The 12,176-nt window shown below is 38.9% G+C and overlaps 1 protein-coding gene across 2 annotated transcripts in view; it reads left to right on the forward strand.

Moving 5' to 3' along the window:
- ADCY1 (adenylate cyclase 1) overlaps positions 1-12,176 on the forward strand; it is a 148,977-nt gene that overhangs the window by 93,512 nt on the left and 43,289 nt on the right. For both annotated transcript variants that reach the window (NM_021116.4, XM_005249584.4), the window contains exons 9-11: positions 10,218-10,412; positions 10,515-10,612; positions 12,058-12,142. In NM_021116.4, the coding sequence (NP_066939.1) occupies positions 10,218-10,412; positions 10,515-10,612; positions 12,058-12,142 (378 nt within the window). The remainder of the gene's footprint in view (positions 1-10,217; positions 10,413-10,514; positions 10,613-12,057; positions 12,143-12,176) is intronic.

Below are 12,176 nucleotides of genomic sequence, written 5' to 3' on the forward strand. Positions count from 1 at the left end.
TCCAATTCTGTGAAGAAAGTCATTGGTAGCTTGATGGGGATGGCATTGAATCTATAAATTACCTTGGGCAGTATGGCCATTTTCATGATATTAATTCTTCCTATCCGTGAGCATGGAATGTTCTTCCATTTGTTTGTATCCTCTTTTATTTCGTTGAGCAGTGATTTGTAGTTCTCCTTGAAGAGGTCCTTCACATCCCTTGTAAGTTGGATTCCTAGGTATTTTATTCTCTTTGAAGCAATTGTGAATGGGAGTTCACTCATGATTTAGCTCTGTTTGTCTGTTATTGGTGTATAAGAATGCTTGTGATTTTTGCACATTGATTTTGTATCCTGAGACTTTGCTGAAGTTGCTTATCAGCTTAAGGAGATTTTGGGCTGAGATGATGGGGTTTTCTAGATATAGAATCATGTCATCTGCAAACAGGGACAATTTGACTTCCTCTTTGCCTAATTGAATACCCTTTATTTCCTTCTCCTGCCTGATTGCCCTGGCCAGAACTTCCAACACTATGTTGAATAGGAGTGGTGAGAGAGGGCATCCCTGTCTTGTGCCAGTTTTCAAAGGGAACACTTCCAGTTTTTGCCCATTCAGTATGATATTGGCTGTGGGTTTGTCATAAATAGCTCTTACTATTTTGAGATACATCCCATCAATACCTAATTTATTGAGAGTTTTTAGCATGAAGTGCTGTTGAATTTTGTCAAAGGCCTTTTCTGCATCTATTGAGATAATCATGCAGTTTTTGTCGTTGGTTCTGTTTATATGCTGGATTACGTTTATTGATTTGTGTATGTTGAACCAGCCTTGCATCCCAGGGATGAAGCCCACTTGATCATGGTGGATAAGCTTTTTGATGTGCTGCTGGATTCGGTTTGCCAGTATTTTACTGAGGATTTTTGCTTCAATGTTTATCAGGGATATTGGTCTAAAATTCTCTTTTTTTTGTTGTGTCTTTGCCAGGCTTTGGTATCAGGATGATGCTGGCCTCATAAAATGAGTTAGGGAGGATTCTCTCTTTTTCTATTGATTGGAATACTTTCAGAAGGAATGGTAGCAGCTCCTCCTTGTACCTCTGGTAGAATTCGGTTGTGAATCCGTCTAGTCCTGGACTTTTTTTGGTTGGTAAGCTATTAATTATTGCCTCAATTTCAGAGCCTGTTATTTGTCTATTCAGAGATTCAACTTCTTCCTGGTTTAGTCTTGGGAGGGTGTATGTGTCTAGGAATTTATCCATTTCTTCTAGATTTTCTAGTTTATTTGCGTAGAAGTGTTTATAGTATTCTGTGATGGTAGTTTGTATTTCTGTGGGATCGGTGGTGATATCCTCTTTATCATTTTATATTGCATCTATTTGATTCTTCTCTCTTTTCTTCTTTATTAGTCTTGCTAGCGGTCTATCAATTTTGTTGATCTTTTCAAAAAAACAGCTCCTGGATTCATTGATTTTTTGAAGGGTTTTTGTGTCTCTATCTCTTTCAGTTCTGCTCTGATCTTAGTTATTTCTTGGCTTCCGCTAGCTTTTGAATGTGTTTGCTCTTGCTTCTCTAGTTCTTTTAATTGTGATGTTAGGGTGTCAATTTTAGATCTTTCCTGCTTTCTCTTGTGGACATTTAGTGCTATAAATTTCCCTCTACACACTGCTTTAAATGTGTCCCAGAGATTCTGGTATGTTGTATCTTTGTTCTCGTTGGTTTCAAAGAACATCTTTATTTCTGCCTTCATTTCATTATGTACCCAGTAGTCATTCAGGAGCAGGTTGTTCAGTTTCCATGTAGTTGAGTGGTTTTAAGTGAGTTTCTTAATCCTGAGTTCTAGTTTGATTGCACTGTGGTCTGAGAGACAGTTTGTTATAATTTCAGTTCTTTTACATTTGCTGAGGAGTGCTTTACTTCCAACTATGTGGTCAATTTTGGAATAGGTGTGGTGTGGTGCTGAGAAGAATGTATATTCTGTTGATTTGGAGTGGAGAGTTCTGCGTATTTTCTTCTCTGTTTCTGATCCACCTAGGGGCTCTCCTACCCCATCTCCTGGGCATTTTGTTGAAACATGGCTGGAAATTTTTTTAAAATATAACTTCTACCATATCTATCTGAATTTAATGAAGATAAAATTTCAACTTGTTTGGTCCACACTTTTTGAAACTGATTGCCATAATGTTTTACTTAATTCTGTTGCATTTTTTTGATCTACAATAGTATGTTTTTCAAATGGTGATAATTTTGCTTTCTCCTTTTCATCCTATGTTAAATGATTGCAATAGGGTGGGCATTCTTTTTTGTTCTGGCTTTAATAAATAGGGTTTTACCACTAATTGTGATGCTTTGGGTTAGAAGTAATAGTATATGGCTAATTATTTCAAGAAAGTGATCCATTGGAGTTAGCTTTTGAATTTTTTCTTTTAATAAGCAGATGTTGAATTTTAGAAAATACTCTTGAGTAGGTATTAAGATGCTTAGCCTGGTGGTTCCCCCTCTGACTGTTAATATGGTCAGTGATATCACTGCATCCTCCAGGGTTCTTTTGACATTGTAGGAGCTTCACCTTCCTGTCCATCCCTGTGGCCTTGGGCTGTTCCTGGTACATTTTCAGAGATGTGTGTATCATCTACTCACTGAAGGACGGCTACCTTCCTCTCAATGTGTTGGCCACTCTCGTGGATGCCCGTCACAGCCCAGGACTGTGATTTATGACTGTGGAGGACAGTCAGTAACCCAGGACACAGCAGGTGAGCTGACAGGCAGAGGATGCTGGGTGGTGACAGGGTTTGGAGGTGTGGCTGACCTGAGGGTGGACCAATGTCTATTACTCCTGACTTGAGGGAGGATCCATGTCCATTAGCACCAACCGGAAAATGGACCTGTGTTCATCAGCCCCGACCACAGGGAGGATCTGTATGCCTCAGTCCCTGACCTGAAGGAGAACTCGTGTCCATCATTCCGTGACCTGAGAGTGGACCTGTGTCCATCATTCCCTGATCCAGGGTGGACCTGTGTCCATCATTTTCTCACCTGAGGGTGGACCTGTGCCCATCAGCCCTGACCACAGGGAGGATCTGTGTCCCTCAGTCCCTGACTTGATGTTGAAGGGTGAACCTGTGTCCTTCAGTCCCTGACCTGAGGGTAGACTTGTGTGGATCTGCCCCAACTGGAGGGTGGACCCATGTTCGTCTGCCCCGACTTAAGGCTGGACATGTGTCCATCAGCCCTGACCTCAAGGTGGACCTGTGTCCATCAACCCTTCACGTGAACTCTCAGAACTGTCAGACCAGGGAGCAGTTGGCACTGACCACTGGTCTTCTGAACAAGCCCAACCTCAGGTAGATAACCAGTGACCGGCAGGGAACTCAAGTCAAGGTCTGCTTGTTTGGGGTTGTAGCCTGAATTGGCAATGGAAAAGCTGCTGGGCGCAGCAGAGATTTGCGCTGGCAAGGACTCTGAGCATGGTTTCCTCATTATCTCCAGCTTCAGGACAGAGGTTCCCCTTGAGTATGGAAGTTTTTACCTGGAATCATCCCTCTAAATGGTATCATACAGTATGTGATCTCTGAAATTGGGTTTTTCTTCATCCAGCATTATGCCCCTGGGATCCATCCAAGTTGTGTGTGTTAATAGTGCCTTCCTTTCATTGCTAAATAGTCCTTCATGGTATGGATAGACCACTGTTTGTTTAGTCATTCGCTTGTTGAAGGACATTTCTGTTTCCAGTATTTAACTTTTACAAATAAAGCTGCCATAAACATTGTCGTGCGAAATTTTGTGCGCACATCCATGTTAACTCATCTAGGATAGATGCCCAGATGTGTGATTGATGGGTCATGTTTAGATTTTTTTCATAAACTGCCGAACTGTTTTCCAGAGTGTCTATTTTATATCCCCATCCCCAGTGTATGAAGGATCCAGTTCATCTCCATCCTCACCAGCATTTGGTGTTCTCTCTCTCTCTCTCTTAAATGTAGCTGTTCTAATAAGTATGTAGTGATACTTCACTATGATTTTATTTTGGCATTTCACTGATGGCTAAGGATGTTGAACATCTTTTCATGTGCTCATTTTTTATCCATATGTTCTCTTGCCCTTTGGTGAACTGTCTCTTCATGTCTTTTGTCTGCTTTCTAATTGGATTATTTGATTTTTTTGTGCTGTTCATTTTTGAGAGTTCATGGTATATTCTAGAAACGATTCTTTTGTTAGAGGTGTGGTTTGCAATTATTTCCTCCCAGTCCATAGCTTGTCTTTTCATCATCTCAACAGGGTCTTCTGTTCTGTTTCACAGAACAGATGTTTTTAGTTTTGAAGATACCCAATTTATTGATTTTTCTCTTTTATGATTCATGTTTTTGATGTCATGTCTAAAAACCTTTTACATAGCCCAAGTCCCCAAATTTTGACATACATTTTACTCTAAGAATCTTATAGTTTTACATTTGATAGTTTATGATCCATTTTGAGTTCATTTTTTAATAAGGTGTAAGTTTCAGTTATTTTTTAGATTTTATTTTTGCTTATGGATATCTGGTTTCTCCAGCACCATTTGTTGATAAGCTATCCTTCCTCCATTGAATTGCTTTTGAACTTTTGTCAAAAGTCAGTTGGCCATACTTATGTGAGGCTATTTCTGGGTTATCTATTCTGTTCCATTTATCTATTTGTCTGTCTGTCTGCCAACACCATACTGTCTTGATTAATGCAGTTGTATAAGTCTTAAAATCAGGTAGAGTGATTCTTCTTACTTTATTGTTTTAAAGAAAAGTGGGCTATTCTAGTCCCTTTTCCTTTCTGTTTGCATGAACGTGGTATGCCTCTTCATTTATTTAGATTTTCTTCGATTCCTTACATCAGCATTGTGAGGTGTTCAGCATACGAGACCTCGCTGTGTTTTGTTAGATTTACATCTTGTATTTTATTTTTCTCAGTGATTATAAATCATACTACATTTTAATATTGGTCTTCCTTTTTTCATCACTAATATAAAGAAATACCATTATTTTTTACGTTTATCTTTTATACTGTCACCTTGTGGAACTCACTAATTTGTTCTAGGATTTTTTTAATATATATATATTCCTTGAGATTTTCCATGTAGATCATCATGTCGTCTGAAACTAGAGACAATTTTCTTTCTTTCCCATCTGTATGCCTTTTACTTCCTTTTCTTGCCTTATTGCACTGGCTGGGGTTTTTAGCACTATGCTGCATGGAAGTGGTGAGAGCCAACATCTTGTATTTTATCCAGAGCATAGAAGGAACGTGTTCAGTCTTTCACGATTAAGTGTGATGTTAGCTATAGGCATTTTGTAGATGTTCTTAATCAAGTTGGAGAAGTTCCCCCTCAATTCCTAGTTTTCTGATAATTTTTATCATGAATGGGTATTGAATTTTGTCAAATGGTTTTTCTGTATCAATTGACTTTCCTCTTTAACCAGTTCATCTGGTGGGTTACATTGATGTTCAAATATTTGACCAGCCTTTCATCCCTAGAATTGTTTATTCTATATAATTCTAATTATATATTACTGAATTTTATTTGCTAATATTTTGTTAGATTTTTTTTATATCTACATCCATGAGGGATATTGGCCTGTAGTTTTCTGTTTTGTACTATCTTCGTCTGGTGTTGGTATCAGGGTAATACTGACTTTGTAAAGTGACTTGGGAAGTGTTGCTTCCTCTTCTATTTTCTGGAAGAGATTGGTTAAAACTGGTGTTAATTCTTTAAACATTTGCTAGAATTTGTCAGTGAAACCATCTGGGCATGGAGTTTACTTTTTCAGGAATTTTTAAATTATAAAGTCAATTTCTTTAGAAATTATAGGATTTTTCAATTTACCCTTTATGTTGGATGAGTTGTGGTAGTTGTGTTTCAAAGAATAGTTCATTTGATCTAAGTTGTCAAATTTATGTGTGTAGAGTTGTTTATAATATTCCTTCATTAACCTTTTGATGCCTGCAGAGTATGTAGTAAAATTTCATTTTATTTCTGAATTTGTTAGTGTCTTTTCACTCTTATTTTTCAGGCTTGCAGTGATTTGCCAACTTGATTGATAATTTTCAAAGAACCAACTTTTGGTTTCATTGATTTTCTCTATTTTTTTTGTTTTCTTTTTATTGAATTCTTCTCTTTATTATTTCCTTTCTACTGTTAGCTTTGAGTCTATTTTGCATTTCTTTTTCTAGTTTGTTAACATGGCAATTAGATTATTGATTTGAGACTTTTTCTTTTTTCTTATGTAAGTATTTAGTACTATTAACTACCTTTCAGCACTGCTTTAGCTGCATCCCGTAGATTTTGGCATATGTTCATTCAGATGAGCATATATATATATATATATATATATATATATATATATATATATATGTTTTTGTTGTTTTTTTTTTTTTTCCTTGAGACTTCCTCTTTGACCTGTGGCTAATTTAGAAATGCTTGGAAATTTTCCTGTTATCTAACTGTTACTAGTTTTAGTTTGATTCTGTTTTGGTTTGAGAGTACATAATGTGTATGATTTCAGTTATTTTAAATTTGTTGAGTTTTGTTTTATGGCCAAGGTCTCTTAATACATACTCTTGGGTACCTGAAAAGAATGTATTCTGCCATTGTTGCATGGAGTATTTTATAAATGTCAATTAGATCTTGTTTGATGATGTCTTAGCTTATTTTATGTCTGATTGTTCAAGGGAGATGTTGACATCTCCAACTATAATTGAGAATTTGTTTATTTCTCCTTAAATTCTCTTTTCTTTTTTTTGAGACGGAATCTCTATCACCCAGGATGGAGTGCAGTGGTATGATCTCAGCTCACTGCAACCTCTGCCTCCTGGGTTCGAGCAATTCTCTGCCTCACCCTCTCGAGTAGCTGGGATTACAGGCACCCGCCACCACGCCCTGCTAATTTTTGTATTTTTAGTGGAGACGGGGTTTCAGCATTTTGGCCAGGCTGGTCTTGAACTCCTGACTTCGTGATCCACCCCACTTGGCCTCCCAAAGTGCTGGGATTACAGGCGTGAGCCACAGCGCCCCACTGTTTCTCCTTAAATTCTATCAGTTTTGGCTTTGTGTGATTGAAATTTCTATTGTTTTATGCATACACATTTAGGATTTCTATGTCTTCCTTTTACATTGACTCTTTAATCATTTTGTAATGTCTCTCTCTATCCCTGGTAAATTTTTTTGCTCTGATATCTACTTTTTCTGTTATCACTACAGCCACTCCTACTTTCTTTAGATTAAAGTTTGCATGGTGTATAATTTCTATTCTATTAATTTCAACTTACATATATTGCTATATTTTGAAGTAAGTTTCTTTAAACAGCATATATTTGGATGATATTTGTTAAATCATTTATTACAGCCTCTTTTAATTGGTATATTTAGAATATCTACACTTAATGCAATTATTGATATGTTATTGATAAGTCTGCTATTTAACTTATTTTTTGTTTTTCTGTTTGTTCCTTCTCTTTTTGTCTGTTTTTTTTCCTATGTTGCTGTGGTTTATGTGAGCAATTTTTAGAATTCCATTTTGATTTATATATAGTATATCTTGTTGCATACAATTTTTTGTAGTTTATCTAGATATGTATTATTTTTACATAACATTACAGCCTACTGATGTCAACATTTTAACAAGTTTAGTGTAGAAACTTTACCTCTTTTTCAGTCCCTTTATCCTTCCCCATTTATAACATAAATGTCATAAATATTTCCTCTATATATATCAGACAAATTTATAATCTTTGGTTCAACCAGAAAACATGTAGAAAATTCAAGAGAAGGAGGAAAGTATATTGCATTTAGCCACAATTTTTATCCTTTCTGTTATTTGTCTTTGTGATGTTCCAACATTCCTTCTTTTACTATTTTCTTTTTTGTTTCAAGAATTTCTTTTTGCTCTTCTTTAGGTTGATTATAAACTCTCAACTTTCCTTTATCTAAAAATATTATAATTTTTTTTTCATTTCTGAAGTATAATTTTGCTAGATGTTGAATTCTGGGTTGACAGTTCTTAAGCACTTGATGAATGTTTTCCCACTTTTTTCTGGCTTCCATGGTTTCTGAAGAAATGATGCTATCATTCTAGTTACTTTTTTTCCTCCCCCAAAAAATCAGATATTAGTTTTCTCATGCTGCTTTCAAGAATTTTCCTTTGTCTTTTGTTCTTGGAAGTTTGATTGTGATGTGTGTTGGCATCTGTTTCTTTGAGTTTGCCCTGTTTGAGATTTGCTAACTTACTTCAATCTGTACGTTTATATCTTTTGCCAAACTTGGGACATTTTCTGCTATTATTTCTTCTAATATTTGTCCAGTCTTACACCCTTTTTCTTCCTTTCGGGACTCTGATGACATGAATGAATGTTAAATTTTCCATTTTAGTTCCACAGTTCCAAAGGCTCTGTTTTGTTTTTTTTTTTTAAGTCTGTTTTCTTTTCATTGTTCAGATTGGATAATTTCTGTGACTCTGTCTTCTAGGTCAGGAATTCTTTACTGTGTGCACTTCAGTCTGCAGTTCAGCTCATCCATTAGGTTTTAAATTTTGATTATTGTATTTTTCAGGTCTGTAATTTTTATCTGTTCTTTCTTATACTTTCCTTTTTTCTGAGACTTGCTATAATTTGTTTCAGGTGTGTTCATAATTACTTATTGAAGCATTTTTATAATGACTGCTTTAAAATTCTTGTCAGATAATTTTAACAACTCTATCATCTTGAAGTTAGTATCTGTTGATTATCTTTCTCAAGTTGACATTTTTTAAGGCTTGATATTATGAGTGGTTTCTTTTTTTTTATGTCCTAGACATTTGGGTATTATGTTGTGATACTCTGGATCCTACTGAAATTTTTTGTTTTAGCAAGTCTCTTCAGACTTTACAGCATTGGGGCAGTGTGGGTGGAATTCCGGGTTTCCCACTTATCCTCCATGACAGCCTGGCATTTGGCACCAAGGTGATGCCTGGCACCTTGTTACTGTTGAGTAGAATATGGACATTCTGCATCCTTGTTCAGCATCCACTGACAATGCAAGTGGGAGCTCATTACCACTCAGTGGAGATGAGCATCTCCACTCCCTGTTCAGGTTTTTCTGACACTATGTCAGTGGGGCCTTGGGTGTGCCTCCTCACAGCCTAATAAAGATCAAAGTCGAGGCTCCCCACATGGTCTTTGCTGGCCTGGGTGGAGCTGGGGCCACAGATTTTTTTTTTTTTTTTTTATGGTCTTTGGCTACAATAGGGTGGTTATTGTCTAAAAGTTTTGTTTTGCTAGGTTGCCCCTTTTTTTTTCTTTGGCTAGAAACAACAGGCTTTTTTGTAGGGGCTTTAAAAAAGTTGATCTGTATCCAGTGGCATTTTTTGGCTGCTGGTTTCTCTTGTTTCTAGTCTGGGATAAATAAGGCAGAAAGAAACCTCAAGGGACACCATCCACCCGACACTGTTTTCCTTTGAGTTGCAAGGTCCCTGCGATCACCCTCTTCTTTCCACCTTTCACAGTCTGTGTGCTTATTTTACATGTATTGTCAGTGCTTTTACCACTCAGTAGGAATAAAAACAAGTGTGTTCATTTCATCTTTTCTGGAACCGCATGGCTAGCCTCTTTTAATATTCTTATTTTCTTCTCAAGTATATTAAGTACCAGAGGTTCTGTTTATGAAGCACTGATAGTGAGTTCATGGCAAGTGGTTTTAAATTAGACTCTATTTTCCTTTTGGCAAATGGGTGCTTTCTCGTATCCCTCATGTGACATATGGAAGCTGTGGAGGAGAGGCTCACTCTCTGTTCCCATCAGCCCTGGCCAGAGTGAGAGACTGGTGAAGCCACTCCGTTTGCCACCGTTTCTCTCTCTTAGAAGGAGGGGGTTGGACTCCTGCTCTTGTAACTCTGGGGAATCTCTTTCTGCATGTGTTGGGGTTTTATGAGTTTAGGAACCTGCTCTTACTGGGATGCTGTTCTCCCCACTGCAAACGTGTTTAATCACCTAATCCTTGCTGCCATGCCATCACTCAGGGGCCATAAAACCGCCATTACAGGTGTGGGAACCCCAACACTGGCTGCTGAGATGACTCACCTGCCATCTCACCACCAGCAGGGCAGAGTCATGATTATTAAATGTCAGATTCCCAAACCCGACCCCACCCTGCAGCGGATCTGGCTGGAGGGAGAGTACAGGTGCTTTTCTTCAATAAGTGGAGAATTTGATGATACTCCTTTATTTCCATGATGGCTCCAGCGGAGGGCATTAAGAACAGCCTCGGAAAAACTCAGAAACCGCTCATCTTTTTCTACCAACGTTGTCTACACCACCCCGGGCACTCGCGTCAACAGGTACATCAGCCGCCTCTTAGAAGCCCGCCAGACAGAGCTGGAGATGGCAGACCTGAACTTCTTTACCCTGAAGTACAAACATGTCGAACGGGAGCAAAAGGTAAGCAACTCTGGTTTTCGGCTTCCCTGGTGCTGCTTGCGAAGGCGCTGCCTGGCTGGAGGAAGCCCTCAGCCCTGATGGATTGACTTCTCTCTTACACAGTACCACCAGCTTCAGGACGAGTATTTCACCAGCGCCGTTGTCCTCACCCTCATCCTGGCTGCCTTATTTGGCCTTGTCTACCTTCTAATATTCCCACAGTGAGTATTTCTATCAACGAGGTGAGGAACTCACCAAGAAGTCCCGGTTTCTGGGGTTCGTGGTTGTGTTTCTGGGGTTCGTGGTTGTGTTTCTGTTGTATGCTCAAGCTTCGTCTCCCACAGTTATTGTCCCAATGTGCCCAACATGGCTGACATTAGCCAGCCATCATTTCCTCATTTTCTCAAGTCAGTAGTGTAACAAGCCTTGATGGTATATGGCATGGGACTGGTCACTTTCCATTTTAAATTTTGAATTTACTTAATTCTAAGACACAATATATTTTCATGCTTTTTCATCCATGCAACATGCACCATTGCTGTAATAATAGCTTTTGGCTGGGTGTAGTGGCTCATACCTGTAACCCCAGCACTTTGGGAGGCTGAAGCAGGAGGATTATTTGAGGCCAGTAGTTCAAGACCAGCCTGAGCAATATAGCAACACTCTATCTACAAAAAAAAAAAAAAAAAAAATTAGCCAGGCATGGCAGCACTTGCTTGTAGTAGTCCCAGCTACTCAGGAAGCTGAGGCAGGAGGATCCCTTGAGCTCAGGAGTCTAAGCTGCAGTGAGCTATGATCTCACCACTACACTCCAGCCTGGATGACATAGTGAGACTTTGTCTCTAAAAATAATAATAATAATAATAACAATAACTTTTGAGAAGAAACTGCACTTAATGAGCTCATTGGCTTCTAAATCCATGTCATTTTCAAAAACTTAAAATCCCTCTTAAAAGGAAGAAAAACAGTAGTTTAAATAACATTTAAACATCATATAAGTAAATGTGAGTTTGGCAGCTTTTATTTTATTTTATTTTTTTTGCAAGAAAGACACCACTGAGTCTGCACTTGCCACTTTACTTTCAAGTGTACTCATTTCTTAATAAAACCTACCTACGGGAATACTACCTCCTCTGAGTTTGAAAGCACATGGAGGCCACCCCACACCTGCGGAGGAGGAGGGAGTTCAGCCCTGGGTGCTCTGCATCCTGCCCAGCCCACAGACACTGAACACAGCAGCCTGCCTCATGGGCCTATTTGGGATTTAAGCGTTTTCTAAAAATGCCCTTCCCAGACAAAGCCCAGCTAGAGAATAGCTCAGCAAAGTCTGGGAAACTCTTGTCTTTCCATCATGAGGAAAACGGCTTCCAGAAAAGTTCTGTGATTCTCAGCCTAAGCTAGATCTCTGCGGTGGGGGTAGGAGAAGTGGGAGGTAGACTCAGGAGGGGCCCCCTTCTTACTCAGGAACCCCAGATGCCCTGCCCTAAAAAATAGAACCAGCCATGTCAGTTCCCAGAGACCTGAGTGGCAGGCATCCAGGTTAACGATGCTGCTTCCTCCTGAGAGCACAGGGGATGTGGAGGGAGGGGCCAATTCTCAGCCATCTCTTGGGTCCGCCTCTCCTAATCCCCACCTATCAGTGACTCTCATGTTTTCTGTCCCCCAGGAGTGTGGTCGTCCTGCTCCTGCTAGTATTCTGCATCTGCTTCCTGGTGGCCTGTGTCCTGTACCTGCACATCACCCGGGTCCAGGTATGTGGGTGGCCTGTGTCCTGTACCTGCATAT

Source organism: Homo sapiens, chromosome 7 (assembly GCF_000001405.40).
Source record: "Homo sapiens chromosome 7, GRCh38.p14 Primary Assembly".
Classification (NCBI taxonomy): Eukaryota; Metazoa; Chordata; class Mammalia; order Primates; family Hominidae; genus Homo; species Homo sapiens.